This window comes from Homo sapiens, chromosome 2 (genome assembly GCF_000001405.40).
Source record: "Homo sapiens chromosome 2, GRCh38.p14 Primary Assembly".
Classification (NCBI taxonomy): domain Eukaryota; kingdom Metazoa; phylum Chordata; class Mammalia; order Primates; family Hominidae; genus Homo; species Homo sapiens.
Genome location: NC_000002.12, coordinates 46,118,941 through 46,137,077, shown reverse-complemented (window position 1 = coordinate 46,137,077; position 18,137 = coordinate 46,118,941). Strand labels below are relative to the sequence as shown.

The 18,137-nt window shown below is 42.9% G+C and overlaps 1 protein-coding gene across 18 annotated transcripts in view, besides 1 other annotated feature; it reads right to left on the bottom strand.

The window, feature by feature from the left end:
- PRKCE (protein kinase C epsilon) overlaps nt 1-18,137 on the bottom strand; it is a 536,712-nt gene that overhangs the window by 50,913 nt on the left and 467,662 nt on the right. The window lies entirely within an intron of this gene.
- Nucleotides 9,864-10,033: an enhancer, noted in NCBI's record as "experimental_58540 CRE fragment used in MPRA reporter constructs". NCBI's record gives its function as "activates a minimal promoter by MPRAs in K562 erythroleukemia cells, with activity observed for both the introgressed and non-introgressed 2:46354269 variant alleles {active_cell/tissue: K562}" and the evidence as "EXISTENCE:reporter gene assay evidence [ECO:0000049][PMID:34662402]".

Sequence of the window (18,137 nt, the reverse complement as noted above, 5' to 3'; positions counted from 1 at the left end):
ATTCTGCCTCCTCCAGGGGTCTCTAACACTCATTTCTTAAAATACACATTCCCTGCCAGTGCAAGTCACTAAATCCCTAAAACTCCTTTTATTTTTGAAAAATACTTAAGGTCTTTTATGTGTATAAAGCACTGAGATAGATGCTGTGGGATGAAACATATGAAGTATATGCAACTGTAACTTAGGGGAAAGGGACAAATGATGTGGAACAGAGATGAGACTGACTGAGACTTTTAGCATAGCCCGGTGAGAAAGTCAAGATTCCTTTCCCCGGGACTGGGGAGTGACACTGTGCACGGAAACACAAAGTTCCCAGGGAAGAAAGCAAAGACAGTGGGGCTCACAGGTAGGGGTGAGGCTGTGCAGATGTTGATCAACAGGATTCATGCGACAGCTTCCAGACCCTTCAACTTCTCAGGACTGGCTGCCACTGTGTGCTATCACAGACAGTATTCCTTTCCTTCCCACAACAGCCCTGGGCAGCGGGTATCATCATAGGTTTGCAGATAAAGAACTTAAGGTGGGGTGGGGGTGAGTAAACAAGGCTAGGGAGGTGACTGGGACCTGAACTGTAGATGTTTGGTGGAATCCTGTTTTCTTTACCCTGCACCTCAGCTATCTCATCTGAATTTATCATTTCCCATTTGGAAAATTGTATTTTTCTATATTGATGGTAGATTCCCTAAGAATAACAGCCAGAAAACTCTCCTTCTGTAAACCATACAGCATCTAGCAAAGCGTTAGCACGCGTGAGGCCCTTAACATATCAGAAAGAATAGGAAACAATTCTTTTATGCTTGACTTGAAAATTCACCACAGAAGAGCCCTGTAATGCTCCTTTATTCTTCGCTCGTTTTCCAATGCCCTCACTTCCCTGGCATGCAAATTCCACAAAGCTCAGGCCTGAGTGCTGCAGAAATAACAGCAAATTCCTCCAGTTACTTGAAGATAAGAGATTAGAAAAATTACTTCATGTCCTAGAGCAGGCCCTCGAGGGAGATTATGAAGAAATCCTGCTTGTTTTGGGACAAATAGTGGAGACTTGAGAATGACTGTGGTCAATCAGATGGGAATATTGGTTCTTCTGGCAGATGGTACCAGCACCTTCATAAATTTAACAATACACTTGAGAGAAAGACGTTTTTTCCAGATCAACATTGTGGCAAATGTTGATGACTGGCAGGCACCCTCTTCCTGACATTCTCTACATAGGCACCTCCCATCACTCTCAGGAAGCAAGTCCCTCAAAGACCACCAGAGGCCAAACACAAAGACAAGCAAAGTGTGTCTACTTCCCCTACATTAAAAAAAAAAAAAAAAAAAAAAAAAAAGCATAATTTGTTTCTGAACCCAAGGTAAATTTTTTTCAAGTTCTCCATTGCAGTGCTGATAACCGAGAGTCAAAGATAATATTTCATTCTGGGCCAATCTCCAGGGAAAATCTCTCCAAGTCTTTGCATAGGAAAATTCAATCATTTAGGAGCAACACAATTAACTACTTTTCTTCTTCCAAATGCTTTTGTATCCCAAGCTCAGTGTTAAATCTTTTCTATCTCTTACTTCATTTAATCCCACAAGTGCTCTGTGAATCTGGTAAGACTGTTATTATCCCTACCTGCTAGATGAGGAAAAAGAGTTTGAGGGGTTACTTGACTGGCCCAGGACACACAGGTGGTGAGTGAGCAACAGAGTCCACCCTGCCTGACCCCACTTCCATGCTCTGAATCACTTCACTGTGTTGTTTGAGGAGAAAAAAATATACATCGTGTCCACACGCCCGCCCTTTCATGGGATAGAGAACACAGTTGTAGTTGTTGGGGTGGTGGTTGTTTCTAACTCATGGAAACATGCTTATAAGATGTAACAGATAAGCCAGACAATGCTATTTTGATCAAATAGATGTCCTCTCAACTGGAGAGAGAAGACTTTTAGACACTACACTGACAGCTGGAAGCCTGAGGTGTCAAACAACATCTCGGTTTGAAGCCAAAATAAATAGCCTGGTACCTGGTTGATCCCGCCAATAGAAAAAATAATAATAAACAGCCTGTGGCTGTACCTGGGCATTAAGCCTTGGAATCACTACAGAATTGCTTATCTGATTGCATGATCATCCAATTACTTTTTTTAACCCACAATAATGAAAGTACATTCTTATCCTTAATATTCATGGATAAAATCCTGATCCCTGCTGAGGGGAAGCAGGCATTGCCTTGTGTTTCCAGCATGTGGGTGAGCTAGCCTGACGATCCGTCGTGACACTTACACCTAGTTCCCCTATCTCTCTCCAGGCCAATCAACTTGGTCATCAAAACAGCTGTTTGGGCAAAGCCCAGGACAGAGTGACCACAAGCAAGTCACTTTTCTGAGCATTACTGTCCTCAAATATGAGATAAGACGGCTGGATGAGTTAATCCCCAAGGGCCTTTCCAGTCTAAGATCCAGGAAGCGAAGGCAGCTGGAGCCCGTGAAAGAACTTGCTTGAACTTGCAGTCCTGGCTGTTGCACACCAAATGTTTTCCCTTTCCACTTTGGAGCAAACCTTTGCCAGCAGGCATTTTTACACGAAATGTAAATCAGATGATGCTCCCCTGCTGCTTGCATTCTTCAATGGCACCCCAGAAGCAGGGTTGTTAGCATGGTGTGAGAGGCCCTTTGTGGTCCCCCATGGCCTTCTAGCCTCATCCATCCAGTTTGGATCAGGAGAGTGTATGATGATGGAAAAGGCTAGAAGGCCAGAGGAACCTTCAGATGGTCCCTGTCTCCTGTTCCACTATGAGTGTCTATCCTCCACAAGGGACCATTCCATGAGGGCAGGGTCTCCAAGTTCCCACAGTGTCTGATGCATCCCAGTGTCTCAATACCTACTGGTCAAATGGATGAAGGAATAAGAGCAGAAAAGTGAATTCACAGATCGTGGCCCCAAGCAGCCAGATGATGTGAACACACATTTCCAGATAATGTATGGAATGAGTAAAACATTTTTATTGAAAATTATTAAAACTAAGGCCAAAACCATCAGAGGCAGCTGAATCCAACATTCTCTTGCACTCTCCAACCCATTCTCCCTATTATACTCAGGAAGAGAACCAAGCAACACCCTCTTGTTGTGAGGTCTCTGCCTTTATCCCAAAGATGCCTCTCTTGGCCACTTTACCTGAAGCAGCCCCTCACTACCACCCCCAACCCTTCCTTTAATGTCAGTCACAGCACTTTGGTCAGCTCCTCTACAACAATGACAACTTGTCATTATTTTGCTTATTGCCTTGAGCATTATTGGTTTCCTCACATGAACTCCAGGAGAACAGACATGGTGCCTTCGTGTTCACAGATTGGTCCTCAGGGCCCTGCAAAGTACCCAGTATTCAATGTTCACTGAATGTCAGAACGAAATGATGATTGGTCCTCAGGGCCCTGCAAAGTACCCAGTATTCAATGTTCACTGAATGTCAGAACGAAATGATGGGCAGGGTCTCTATGAAGTCCATTTTAGCGTCCATCAAATTGGCAGCATGATTACAATCACTGATATATTCATTGACTACTTGCCCCTACTATGTAATAATTCTATAATAGTTATTGAGTTTCTACTTAGAGTCTGTTTCAGGATAGGGAGAGGGAAGAAAGACACAATCCCTGTTTTCAAGGAGAGGTCTAGGGTCTAGAAGGAGAGATGGACATGAGGCCAGAGTACTAGGATGGCAAGTTCTAAAACCAGAGGGAGAAACAGGACATCATCACTGCCTTAGAAGGCAAGGATTGCTGGTTTCACCTCTTTTGGGCCCAGTGATTTGTAGCTCCAAGTCCAGCCAGCACTCTGTCATCACAGAAAGGGCCACTCCAGCTAAAGGACCAAGAGTAACCTTTCTGGGGGCGTTCTTGGAGCCTGGCGGAAGTGGACCGTAGAACCCAATACCGGGTCCAGAATTCCCGGACAGGAAGGCCAGAAAACCGCACTTCAAGCTCCTTTGTCAGGACCAGAAGCTGCCAAAACTAGTAGGCGTATGTCTTCCATGTCCAGCCACATAAGGAGCCACGTGCTAGGAGATTGGTTAGCCCCTTTTAGGTCACCCCAGCCCAGATAAAGAGCTGAGGAAACACAAATGTAACTCCACACAATTTGACGGGGATGTAGGGAAGGCACGTCTTCCTGCAAAGTGGGGGTCACCCAAGTTACTTGGAGGATATCAGAGGCCTCATTCAAGGTTAGGAGGCTGAAAATGGACTGACCTCTGAAGGGACAGAAAACAGATTTTATTATTCTTAAAAAAGAAGTCTTACATTTGTATTTGTTTAATTTGGCCATGGAAGGTATTTGCTTTAAGACCATGCGGTGCTTTCCAACGGCTAAGAAATGTGTTTGTGCGCGCACGTGTGCATATATGCATATATGCCAATAAGAAGGGGTACAGGGCTGTGCTTATGCCCTGTTATGGGCCTAGACCTGTGGTTTGATGGACAACGAGGCTGCACAGGCTCAGGCGAATGAGGCCGGTTAAGAAGAGTCCTCCTCTTCATCAGGGAGGACATAATCTGGTAGAGTTTACAAAATCAAAGGTGATTAGAGATAAAGACAGCCTCCATTTCTCCATGTGATGGACATCTACTGAGCACTTATGACATACCAGGAAGGCCCAGGCTTTGGAGGGAGGCAGGAGGATAGCAGCAGTTCAGCTCGTGCATGCTGAACATTATTGGTCCCTTGGAAGCACCTCACTGGACATGCTGACTAGGTGTGATATGTGAAGGTTTGGGCTGGAGGAAAAGAATGAATGTGGGTGAGATTTTTTGAGAAAAGGATCACATACAGTGTGACAAGAGAAGAAGGCTGGAAATGATCTGTAAGCAAGCACAACGCTTGATGGTTGGGACTTGAGACAGAGCAACCACCGAGGACTTTGGTGTTTGGGAAACCCAAAAAGAGAATCTCAAACAAAGAGCGTGGTCAGTCAGTGAAGGGCTCTGAACTTGGGTGGTTCAGAGGTCTTTTTATCCAGCTGAGGCCCAGGCAGATAAAGTCACGTGCCCTTACTTATATTTGTTTATTTTTTCTTTTTATGCTTTGAGACTCTGATTTAGAAATAATAAATAATAATAATAAAAATAATAATTGGTTGTATCTTTTGAGAAAAGACTTTCCAGACTAATAGAGGCATTGTGTATCAGGGTCTGCCCAGTGAATAGCTTTAGTAAAGAAAGTAACTGTAAACCTCAAACCTGCCAATGGGAAAGAAGGAGAGTTCCAGAATTCCACTTGGGGAAAAAAAGAAAGCAAGCAATAACTCTTGGAGTGACACTGGGAGACATGCCCTTTTTCAAGGCAGTAGAGTCTGCATGTGGGAAGAACCCTATTCAGAGAAAACCCACCAGAGTTCCATGTTCTCCACATGCCTTCCAGTCTTCCAACCAAGAAGGATCCAGCAGCTTCTCCTTTGCCAATCCTAGGCTGTCCCTGAGGAGCAGGTTAGTTGGGGCAATGGTGACCCAGCCCAAATCAGCTCAGTGTTCCTGGGCCCTCTCTTTCCTCCCCACTCCACCAGGCCCATCAGAAGGGGTGCCCATACTCTGGACATTTCTTTACTTCCTCCTTTTTAAAAATCACCCTTCCCTAAACTGTGATCCCTTCTGAACTACTTGCAAATCTGCTCAGTGTCATTGAGCTAAGGTGGACCCTTATGGCTTGATATGTAACTTCCCCCAGGGAACTTGCAGAGATGTATCAGAAGATCCAGGAGAGTCAGCAGAGGTGATAAGGCATGGGGCACAGCTTCAAGACCACTTCTCAAATCCTGGCAGGAAGAGTCTAGAGTTCCCTCTCCAGGGCCCTCCTGAAGGCCACAGCCTCACCCCTGCCTCTGACTCCATCCCCAGCCAACTGCTTCCTTTTACCTTCTTTAACCCAAAGACTCTACTTGGAGCAAGATTTGGATTTTCCTGAGGCCATTCAGCTAAAATTCAGAGTGCTGTTCAATCCCTGACTTTGCTGGTGGTCACCAGCCGGATTTATCCTCACACTAGAGCAGGTTGTTTGGCCATAGATGTGGATGAAATATTAGTAAGTTACATTCAAGGAAGACAGGTGCTCAAAAAGGATAACCTATCTCTGCTTTGGGAAAAAGTGACCCCCAGTTTTTAAGCAAAAGTCTCTCAATTATGATTCAGGTCATGGAAGTATCCTGATGGCACAAGGGTGCGCACACGAAGTACAGCAGACCCACATTTGGCATTTGCAGTTTTACTCTTCTCAAGCTACTCTAAGGGTCCAAAACAAGCAGCACTTTCTACCTGTGTACAGGACATATCTTAATGTGTTTTCTAATGAAGCTACGTGTGGGTAGGTTAGCTGGCCAGCAAATGAGCCAGACCAAGTGGAAACAGAGCAATGAGGTCTGCGGAAGGAATATTTCTCAGCCAGAAAGCAAGTGCTTTGAACAAACTGAAGAAAGGAATGTGGAATTTGTTGGTGGTTCAGATCTATGACAAATAAATCCTTTAAGCAGTCTATTCTGAAATAAAGAAATCATGACTTAAAAATTTATTTTAGCAAGTGCTATGACAAAAATTGAAACTTCAGTGAAAACTAAAAAGATAATTAACATGTGTTGTGAGACTGTACGCAGACAACATGTAACTCTCAACGTTTCTATATATCTATGTCATGTTATATTAATCATACTATATACTTATATATAACAAAGTATATATAATGTATAACAAAGTATGTATGATAAAGTATACAGTATGATTAATATATGTAATAGTATATTCATGTATGCATATTTATATTTTATGTGGTATAATATATACATATAGTGTAAATATGACATAAAATTAATAAAAGTTTAATTGTAACTTATTAGATTATACTTTGTGTTATTTGTCTCTTTCCAATTTTGTAATTATTTTTACCAACCCAATGGTTTATGCTAATAAAAATGAAAACAACCACAAAAACAATTATACCTGAAACCTTAAGAATACACAAGAACAAAATCTGTCATCTTATCAGGTTAAAAAAAACTCGCTATTTTCATGTGCTAATAGTCCCTAAGGGAGGTTAATTAAACAAATACTAATTTCCTAATCTGTTGATGACTGTCAAACAGCTTTTATTGCCAGAGATTAGCTGTTAAGATATACACCCACAACCATACCTGCTCTTTTTTGAAAACATAAGTGTTCTGATTTAATGGAAAATCACTGCAGGGCATAAGTATAAACTATAAAACAATTAAAATAATAAATCGGAATGGCAGCATTTCCCAGCGAGTCTTACAACATAACTCAGCAGCTTCCAATCTGCAAGGCTCTGCCCTGGGCCCTGTAGTTTGCTGGGGCAAGGAACAGGCACAGGCAGCTTCCTGTGGGCAGCCTTCAGCCAGCATGAACACGAGGCTGCCTGGAGTGCCCGATGGAAGAATGAGACAGTCAGCCCAGGGCTCAGGAGGTTCCAGGGCAGAGGCTGCCCACAGGCTCCTCATCAGCTTGCTCCTTTTCATAGAAAAAAACCCATACACTCATGTATTCAAATATTCATGGAGTGACTACCACGTGACATGCGCTGTTCTTGGCACTATGGAAACACGTTCCCTGTCCTCTTGGCATTTATATCCTAGTGTGGAAAGCGACAATCAACACATATAAAAAAAATAAAATAACGTTGAGGAGTAAAAGTGCTGTGAACGTACATGCTGAGATTAACTCTGGTCCATGCCCTTGTTTCTTTTCCACTCATCAACAGCTACGTACTGAGCACCTGCCATGGGCCCCCACCTTCCTTGGATGGGAGGTATCATTCTGAGACTTGGCTTCTGCCATCCACATGTGAAACAAGGAGAAAACCATGAAGACCCTGTGCTCACTGACGGTGCTGATGAGCCTTTACTAGTGCGCCTCATGTGGAGGAGCTCCTCGAATTCTCCCCCAAACTCTGAAATGGGTACTATCATCACTCCCATTTTAAAGATGACAAATCTGAGACCTAGAGAGGGTGCACGTCTTGCTCAGGGGCCCACAGCTAGTATAGGAGTGGGAAACTAAGATTTGAAACTCAGAGGCAAACTCTTAACCACCCAGTGTCTAGGCTAGGTGGTGGAGGAGGTCCTGAGAAGCCCTGAGCTCCTCCAAGAAGGACCCACATCTGCTATGGCATCCATATTTTCCTCAAGTTCAAAGCACCTGCTCCAGAGTCAAGTGCCCACGAGCAGGACCAGAAATACTGACTGCCTGGTCACTCTCTGGTGGTCTCTCCCCAGGATCACCAACATTTCCAGTGCAGAAGGTCTTTAGGTGTGTGGTTATCCAGCCCTGACTTCTCAGTGATGACACTTCATTGGCTTATCAACCTTATTTTTAATGGTCAACCACAGATCTATCTTTGGGGCCACTGGAAAACTGATTAAAAGATCGAAGACATAAAGATTAGGGAACGTTTACCAAAACAGGGAGCTCCTATGATGCTACTTAAGGAATAGCAAGACAGAGATGCCTGAGATTGAGCAGGAGAACGTGACGTCTCCCAGGCCTAAGTCTGAAGATTACTCTGATTTAGTATTAACACTATGTGAATACAATGTCTTAGTCTCACTTAGGTTCAGGTTCCTAACCCATAAAATGGGGATAACAGTACTCATTTCAAAGGCTTACTGTGATGCCTAAATGAGGTAATATGGAAAGGGTTTATACCAGTTCCTGGCACAGAGTGGGTGCTTAACAAATGTTAGCTCCAATTGCTCTTCATGAGCAGTTTCCAAACTTGACCATTTAAACCATGAGTTCATTACCCCTTTCTCACATACTAAAAAAATCACTGTCATGTAAACAGATTCGAATATCTACTCTTTTTTTTTTGTTGACTGATGACATTACAAGTGATGCTGGAAGGGAACAACACAATGGCAAATGACAATAACAAAAACTAGAGGGGGAACCAGGTAAGGAATAGAAAGAGGATATCATTGGAATAATTTGTCCAGGAATTGTAACCTGGTGTCTGTACCTGCTTGCTTTCATTTTATCTTTACTGCCCACTGTAGCAGACTCTGTCTGCCACAAAGGGCGTACCTCAGTGTGTGAACATGGAACACCAAGGCTTGGCCTTCCTGATACTCCTGTGACTTTTGAGGCAGTGGCATGAAGGCAAACTGGCTGTGAGCTGACCCACTGTGTTTTCCCACGGCCATGTCTGAGAAACACAGCTGTGGTCCAGCCCCAGTCCCTGTCCATTTTCCCATTGATTTTCCAGTTTGCCTACTGTATCTGTGAGCTGTCTCATGTCTTTCCAGCAAATTCTTTATCCATGCAAGTTAGGCAGAGCTATGCATACTACTGAGAACTCTGACCAAACTCCCAAGTTCCAGGACAGTCTACCCCTTGATCCTCAATGGTAACAGGCTGCCCACAGTGACAGCCACTCACTGTCAAAGATTTACCAACTCAGAACTATCTCAAGATCCAAGTCAGTGTGGAGAGGCCCTGCTGGCCATCATACGTTCCCCACAAGTGCACAGCACTGGTTGATAGCAGAGACCAATACTGTGAAAAGTAATCAAGTGCAATATGACCAGCATTACAAATGCAGTGGGCTTCTATGCCCTAAGAGAAGGCTGGGGCAAAAATTAGCTACTGGATGAATATTGCCATGACTGTGAACATCTGGAAGCTGAGAGGTTAGGATCAGATGCTGGTTTAGGGCGTGCTCTCTCTTTTATATATATAAACAAGTCTATACAGCTGTTTCTACTCCAGCTTCAAAATAAAAGAACACATCAAACATATTACTAAAACCTGGAGCACTCACTGTGCGGGACACTGTATTAAAAAGATCCTAAGAATCCAGGATTTTAGTGACGTGAAGAAAATATCAATGATAAATTGTTTAAGGGCAAGGGTCAACAATTTTGAACTGAACAAACCTGGAAGCTAAACATAGAATGGACACTGAAGCATCTAGAATTCCCCTAGAGCTAACCAGGAAGGCCCAAATCTGTGGGCTTTCTGGCTCTCAAGCTTTCCTTTTTCTGCATTTGCCCCTGAACTCCTAGGCCAAGGGTCTGGAGGCTTAAAATAGCACTCACTGACTCTAGATTTTTAAGCTCAACAACACCCATATTTCAAAGGAGCTCACCTAGGACAAGTCTGTTAACGTTGGGTCTTAAGAAAACTGTAAACCGCTGAAGTGGGTCTTTGCTGTCTGTAGCCTTTCCTCATCTCATGCTTGTCCTGCCTCCAGCATCTACTGGCTCCATGCTCTTTGTAGCCCTCACTCATCAGCTCCCAGTAAGGGCTGTGACGGTAGCATTCACCCTCCCATGGGACTGCTCAAGGGAAGGGAGGAGGAAATTCACAGTTGTCAATCCCTTACCATAGACCCGGTTCTGTGTTAGGTCCTATGGGGAGACACAAGAAAGCTAAAAAAGAATTACCACCAGGAAAAGCCTTTTAATCTGATATTCAAATGGGAAATATATATTTAATTATGAGTAAATATCAAATAAAAGCTATGCCTATTAAGTGTTCACTTTCAGGCTTTTGCATGAACTGTTTCCTCTGTCTGTAACAGCATCCGCCAATGCCTTCTCTGGCCAACTCCCATCACTTTCTGTAAGAAGAATTCATGGACTCCCCCATGGGAGTCCATGTGGGGGTTCAGTGCCCCTCCTAAGGGGTCCAAGGCACTATACCTCCTCTGGTGTAGTATATATTACAAGAAAATGTGAATGCCCCCAATAGGCAGCGAGGTCTACAAAGAGGGGACAAAGGAACTGAGTCTTGTTTACCACTGTATCCCCCCAGCACGCTGCACAGTGCCTGAGATGTAATAGGCCCTTAGTAAATATCTGATGGTTAAGAATGAACAGAGGGGTTAAGAAGAGACCCAGAGAGATCTCTGTGGGTTGAATGGAATCTGCTTCTAAGACAACAGGCACTTTGGAGTATTTACCAAAGAAACATCCAATAAGTACTTTTCTTCTGGAAACAGCATTACCTGTGCCAGAGCTTGGATGCCAGGCTGGTAAAACAACACTGCCTGAGCCCACTCGGCAAGAACTGACCTGTTGGAGTATTAGGGCTCTGGCTTGGCGGTCCAAGCCTGCTGCTTACATCTGCCATGCTGTTGGAGCAGATTAACTTGTCTTAAATCACTTTTAATCATTTTAAACAGGTACTTCACTCAGAACGAAGACACGTACAACTGGATTTTGATTCACACTCCATTCTGCTCTGGCAGTAATCATGTATGCAATGGACTTTGATTTTCATGCTTATTTAATTCTAATATGAATTAAGAATGACTCATTGTCATAGGCAGAACACTGATTTTTCTCAGAATTCTCACTTATGTACCTACTAAGTGTCTGTATATACTGTGAAGGTATATTTATGCCTGTATTTATTGGCATGCATGAATTTAAGAGAAGAAAATTATTCAAAGACACTGAAAAGTGGAAAAATTCCATCAGTCAGTTGAATTTGGCTAGATGAAGTCAATGACCAGTTCATTTCTCTCCTGATGATGTATGGTTAACCATATCTAGGAAACCGACCATCCTCCCCCAGCCTCTTCTTAAGGCCTGCATGTAACAGCCACCTCTTGTCCAATATACCGACTTGAGAAAATATTTCTCTTTTTCAGATAAATTGACTCCCACAAATTCAAACTTTTATTTTAAATCCAGTCACTGTTACCTAAAATGTCCCCCCAAAGTCACTGTTATTGGCTGGGTACAAAGGAGTTTCTAGAGAGGCACAGTACATCAGCAACCAAACAGTCCTCCTTGTCAACCACATACCGGGGATGACGCCTATTTTCCCTTCCTATCAGTTTGTATTACTGAGCTCTACAGACTGGATGAACTATAGTACTGACCATCAATTCATTTTCCCAAATGCTCTTCCCAAAGACTTCTCTACTAATATTTAGAGAAGTGTAACTGTAAATCAATTAGATTCCAATTTTCTAAAGCTTACATGCAGACATATAACTAAGCATGGCAGTAAAGAAGAATTTGAGAAATGGCTACAGGGAGAAAGTACTGGGCAATCAGTGGCTGAACAAGGCAAGACACCATTGCAAATAAATACCAAAGTCTCTTTATTTGTGCCACTTTGAGATAGGCCATCCCTTTTTCCAGCTAAGATTTAAATGTGTCTAAAAATTTCCTTTCAAGACTTACCATATTCATCGATTAAGTGGAGGTTGCTAGTGGAGAAATATTTTTAGTTATTTTGGGGCACGTGATATTTTATAACCATACAGCACCATCATCCTTATCATTCCCCACAGTGACTAAGGATCTTTGCTGGATATATTAGAAGATCAGAGAGATAGAAGACTGGGAATGAGCCCAGTCTTCAAAGAGTTTGTAGTTTGTCACAAGTAGATCGATGAGTGAAGTGTTGGGTACAAAGAATATGATCCCTTTCCTCTGCCCACAAGTGTGAACATAAATGCAGAGCCATGGATTATGTGGTCATTTTTAACAGAAGGAGGGGGTCTCTAACTGGGGAATGAACACAAAGTGATAGGGCAGTATCAAGGAAACTCATGAAACGAGGTTTCACAGAGGAGGTGATTCTTATTTATATTAGTATCAGTGGATAAAATTGAACCATTCATTAAGAGAAAATTCTCTATAGATTGCCATCTATTCATATTCCTTATTACATCTCGGAAGGCAGCAACACGATTAAAATTAGAAATAGGAATAGTGTCAGCTACTCAACACTAGTATCTCTCTTTCTTTTTTGTTTGAGATGCAGTCTCGCTCTGTTGCCCAGGCTGGAGTGCAGTGGTGCGATCTTGGATCACTGCAACCTACACCTCCTGGGTTCAAGTGATTCTCCTGCCGCAGCCTCCCAAGTATCTGGGATTACAGGCATGCACCACCACACCTGGCTAATTCTTGTATTTTTAGTAGAGATGGGGTTTCACCATGTTGGCCAGGCTGGTCTTGAACTCCTGACCTCCAGTGATCCGCCCACCTTGGCCTCCCAAAGTGCTGAGATTACAGGTGTGAGCCACCATACCCAGCCATATCTCTTTATTAAAAAGCAAACATTTTAAAATCACTTTTCAACCCAGGATGGCTTGGTGAAATTGTTTGACACATGCCAACTGCTGGCACTCAGCACTGCCTTGAGTTAGCACCCCTGTCAATCAGTGCATGCCTTGTAAACATTTGCTTCTTCATTCATTGTAGGCAACTTTATTTCTTTGCAGTTGGAATGGTACAAATCCTTACCACCAAACTTCTGAGAGCTGAAGAAGACATAGATACAACATAAAACTTGGCAGGGCACAGTGGCTCATGCCTATAATCCCAGCACTTTGGGAGGCTGAGGCAGGTCGGTCACTGGAGGTCAGGAGTTTGATACCAGCCTGGTCAACATGGCAAAACCCTATCTCTACTAATACAAAAATTAGTTGGGCATGGTGGTGCACGCCTGTAGTTCCAGTTACCTGGGAGGTTGGGGCATGAGAATTGCTTGAACCTGGGAAGCGGAGATTGCAGTGAGCTCAGATCATGCCACTGCACTCCAGCCTGGGCGACAGAGCGAGACTCTGTCTTCAAAAAGAAAGAAAGGAAGAAAGAAACCCATAAAGTTTGCTTTTGTTCTATGTGATCTCAAAGATTCTAAGAGTAAACACGACAAATCATCCATCCCCTCATTAAAAGTAATCCCTTGCATTTGACTTCCCCCAAATGATCCTCATTTCAGCCTCACTACTTGTCAGCTACTGCCCCACAATTGCAGGGAATAGTTTAAGATATTAAAGCATGTGCTTTGCTTATCTCTTTACTCTGAGTTTCCTTTAAGCTGTGTGTAGACCAAAAAAAAAAAAAAAAAAAAAAAAAAAAAGGCAAGTGTTTTCCTTTGTAAAGCTTTTCCTTTCCTTGTATTTGCACATTTTTTTTTTTTTTTTTTGCTAGTGAACTTCAGTCAACTTTCCTCTTAAAGTTTAAACATACATTTCAGAGACAGATTTCAGAAACCATGGCCCCTGGGCAGTAATATTGCCACAATGACCAAGGTGATCTGGTAAAGCTTTCTAGGATCTTTCCTCAGATTTTACCAGGGAGGAAATAACTCAGTTTTACATAAAAAATAATTTGGCTTCACCAGGACTCTCCTGATTATAATGGTGACTAGTGCTGGTTGGTGTACTGCTAAAAAAAAAAAAAAAAAAAAAAACCCAGACTGTTGTGCCAGAAAAAGCCAGGTTTCAACACTGCGCCCCCACTTCCTGACCATTGGACCTTTTTGCTTCATGTTAAAACTTGAAGCCTCAGTTTCTTCACCTGTAAAATGGGGACAATGCTATCTACCTTGCAGCTATCTTCCCAGTGGTTAAATGAAAGAATGTACAGAAAACACTTACTGTCAGGCCCAATTTAACCCCTCAATAATAATTATTATTCTTCATAAAAGCGAGGAACTTCATCTATCAACCCAAACCTGGGTAAGGTCAGAGGGATGTAACCTCGCCCAGTGAGGACTATTTACATATTTCATCACTAAGGTCAGTTTTAAAGAGACCTATAAGTGGGCTGGGTGCAGTGACTCATGCCTGTAATCCCAGCACTCTGGGAGGCCAAGGTGGATGGATCACTTGAGGTCAGGAGTTTGAGACCAGCTGGCCAACATGGCGAAACCCCGTCTACTAAAAATACAAAAATTAGCTGGGCATAGTGGCATGCACCTGTAATCCCAGCTTCTCAGGAGGCTGAGCAGGAGAATCACTTGAATCCAGGAGGCAGAGGTTGCAGTGAGCCAAGATCACGCCACTGCACTCCACCCTGGATGACAGAACAAGACTCCGTCTCAAAAAAACAAAACAAAAACAAAAACAAACAAACAAAAAACACAAATAAAGAGACCTAAATACAAAACTAACCTATTGGCAGAATGGTGGCTACCTCTCCGGGCAGTGGGGAGCACTGACTGGAAGGAGCCTAAGGAAGCCTGCCTCGTGCTGGGAATATGCTGTATCTTCGTTTGGGTTACATAGGTGTGTATTCATGTAAAAATTCATTAATATCTAAGAACTGTGCACTCGACTGTAGGCCTATTATATCTCAATGGGAAAAAAGGAGGGAAGGAGGGAAAAAGGGTGAAAAAAAGAGAAGAATACTGGTGAATGTAAATGATTTCCCTTGGCCTGATTTACTCCTTTTAAGTTCCCTGTAAATCCAGCTGAGTGAGCTGACTGGCAAGAAAGAACAGTGCTGTCTTTTCTCCATGATCAGATCTTGACTCCTGTCCACAGCATTCATGAGCATCAGTTTAGTACATGTTTAGGTGTACGAGGCCCTGCAGGTATGCATTTAGGGCTGGCACACCTGTCTGTTGTCAGTTCAAATGTGCTCACTGACACGTGCTGAAAGCCTAGCGTTTATGATCTTTGCATTGAATTTGGTGAGCCTGACCATCAACCCAGAATTCCCATCCACCAATTGGTCAATATCTTTTAGCCATCTTTTACAAGCCCAGCACCATGCCGGGTCCTGTAAATTCCCTATGGGCCCCTCTATAATATCTCAGAGTCCACTGTGTGATGCTGTACAGACTGGGCAGGGAGTTGCAGGTACCTGTATGTCAAAGACAGGCAATGACTGTGCCAGGCACCTTGGTGTCAGAGAGAACAGAACCAGGGGACATCTCTCAGTGTGCAGGGTGGGGCCCACCTCAGATCATGGGGACTGATCTCATGCCATAAAACATTCAAGGCAGTCTGGCCCCAAGAGGCCATAAACAATACAACGCCTACTTTACAACGGGTGCACCAAGGTGGAAATGAAAATTGTCTGCCTGTGCATTCTTAAGCTTATTAACCCCAAGAATGCCAAAGCATTATTGGCATAAACATCCCCATAAAAGTTGCTGAAAGGGTGGGTGAAGATACTCTGGTTAGATGGAGCTGTGATGGTAAAGTGACATTTTAAAAAGTTTGGTTTGGTTGAAACACAATTTATCTCAAAAGAAAGGGTTTTACTTTGGGAATGAATCCAAGTAGTCCAAAAGGCTCCTATGCTTTCTTAGACAATAAATTTTACAGCTTTGACTGAGTTAGGTTTTTAAAAATCATCTTCCTGATCATGTAGGTCAAGTGCCACAGATTCATGGTGAACAAACGTAACAGCTGTGAGTGGTGGAAAACTGATATTAATACATCGGTAAGAAGGCAGGATTCTATTCAGACTATTCTAGTTTTTACAGTATGGATAGATTAAATATACTTCTTGACTTAACGTTGACAGGAAAAGAAGACAAGCCTCTGGTTTTTGAAACATGGGTGGCATCCTTTGAAAGAAAGGTCAATACAATCTGAGAAGTTACAAAAACGTGTTGAGTAGAGAAAGGAAGTGAAATGACAAATGGAAGTCTCTCCCCTTATGCCTTCTCCTATCTTCAGAAGAGTTAAAAAAGCCTACATCATCTACATCTGATTTCTCCAGGGTCTGAAAAACCTGCAAATATGGCTGTACTCTACCTAAACACCATGGCAAAATCTGTATAAATCTTACTAGCCAAAACAAGAGACCTGTTAGCTCACAGCTACCCCCAAACCTTCAGAGTCACATGAGCAGAGAACTTTGCATCTAGAGCGGGTTTTCCAGCCTGGGCACTACTGACATGTTAGGCTGGATAAATCTTTGTTGTGAGGACCGTCCTGTGCATTGCAGAATGTTTACCAGTATCCTTGGCCTCTACCCACTAGATGCCAGCAGCACTCTCCTGGCCCCCATCCCCAAGTTTCAGCAACCAAAAATGTCTCTAGACATTGCCAAATCTTCCCTGGAGGTAAAATAACCACTAGTGGTTGAGAACCATTATGCTAGAGGAACATCAAGAACCACTTTTCACTGGGGAGGTGAAGAGACTATGGTTGATGAGTGTCTGAACATGAGGTCAGTGCGTTTCCTCTTAGCAATGCTACTGCTTAAAAACCAAATTCTATTTTTTATCTGAGCTTCATGTTGGGGAGAAGAGTTTTCTAAGTCCCAGAATGACAGCATCTTTTGAAAACTTATGAACAAAGGAGCCCCAGGGCTTAACAGACAAAGCATAGCATCTCCAAAAGGTGCCCAAGGAGCCTCCCAGCTACAAACTCCCAGGGTACCCGCCAACTAAAAGCCAGGAGAATCCAACAAATTCCAAGGTGACATTTTAAAAGACACATTATCATTACAGACTTCAACAGTTCTATCTAAATTCTAGCAACGGGAGTTGAGAATCCTGAAGCCAAAATTAAGATATAAGTAGTGATACTAACACACTGGGTGGAGTGTTCCTCACAAGCTCCATTTTAGTGAGAATCTACGTACTGTCTCTCTGCTGCCGGAACAATGCGTGTTTCTCAATCACTAGTTGAAAGAGTCTCTTTGCAAATATTTCTTCACTTGCTAAGCAGAGATGGTTTCTGGGAGATAAATTGCTGGAAACAATGTTCCTCTCCTAGCACTAATGCAAACCATACTGCAAAATGAGGCACTACACTAAAAACTCAATTTATCCTGTTCAGCCTAGAAAGATTAGAAATTAGGGGAATTCGGAAAACACAAGCCCTTAGGGCCAATAAACCATATTTAGAACCATTTGTATGTATTTTATACTCAGGAATTTTATTTATGATAAGAATTTGAATGTCTCCCCCCACCCACTTTATTTATAAAGATTAAGTGACATCATTTAGCTAGAGTAAAGAATGCCCTAAAAAGAACTAATAGCCCAAGTTGTTTCCAAAGTTTAGGAAAGGGAAAAAAAAACACCCTAATAACCCCCCCTTTTTTTTTCTCTTTCACAAAAATAACAGAAGGAAAGCTGCTACTGTAATCAGCAGTGATTGCAGGCATTTCCTGTATTTTTATATCAAGCTGGTTGTTTTTTTTCCATTACATACCCAGTGAACTTCAGTTAGGTCAAGACTAGAGAAAAACAGGACCAATTATGCCTCCAACCCCACAAATCTGCCTACTTAGCTCTGCTAATTTTATCGTGTTGACTCCATGGTTCCAAGGAGCCAGAGATAGGAAAACTTCCATGGGCCATTTGCTCTCTTCCTCCTGGAGCCGAGTTCGTGCACTTCCCCCTCTACTTCTAACCCATTTAGTCTCCAGCATCCTAAGATGGAA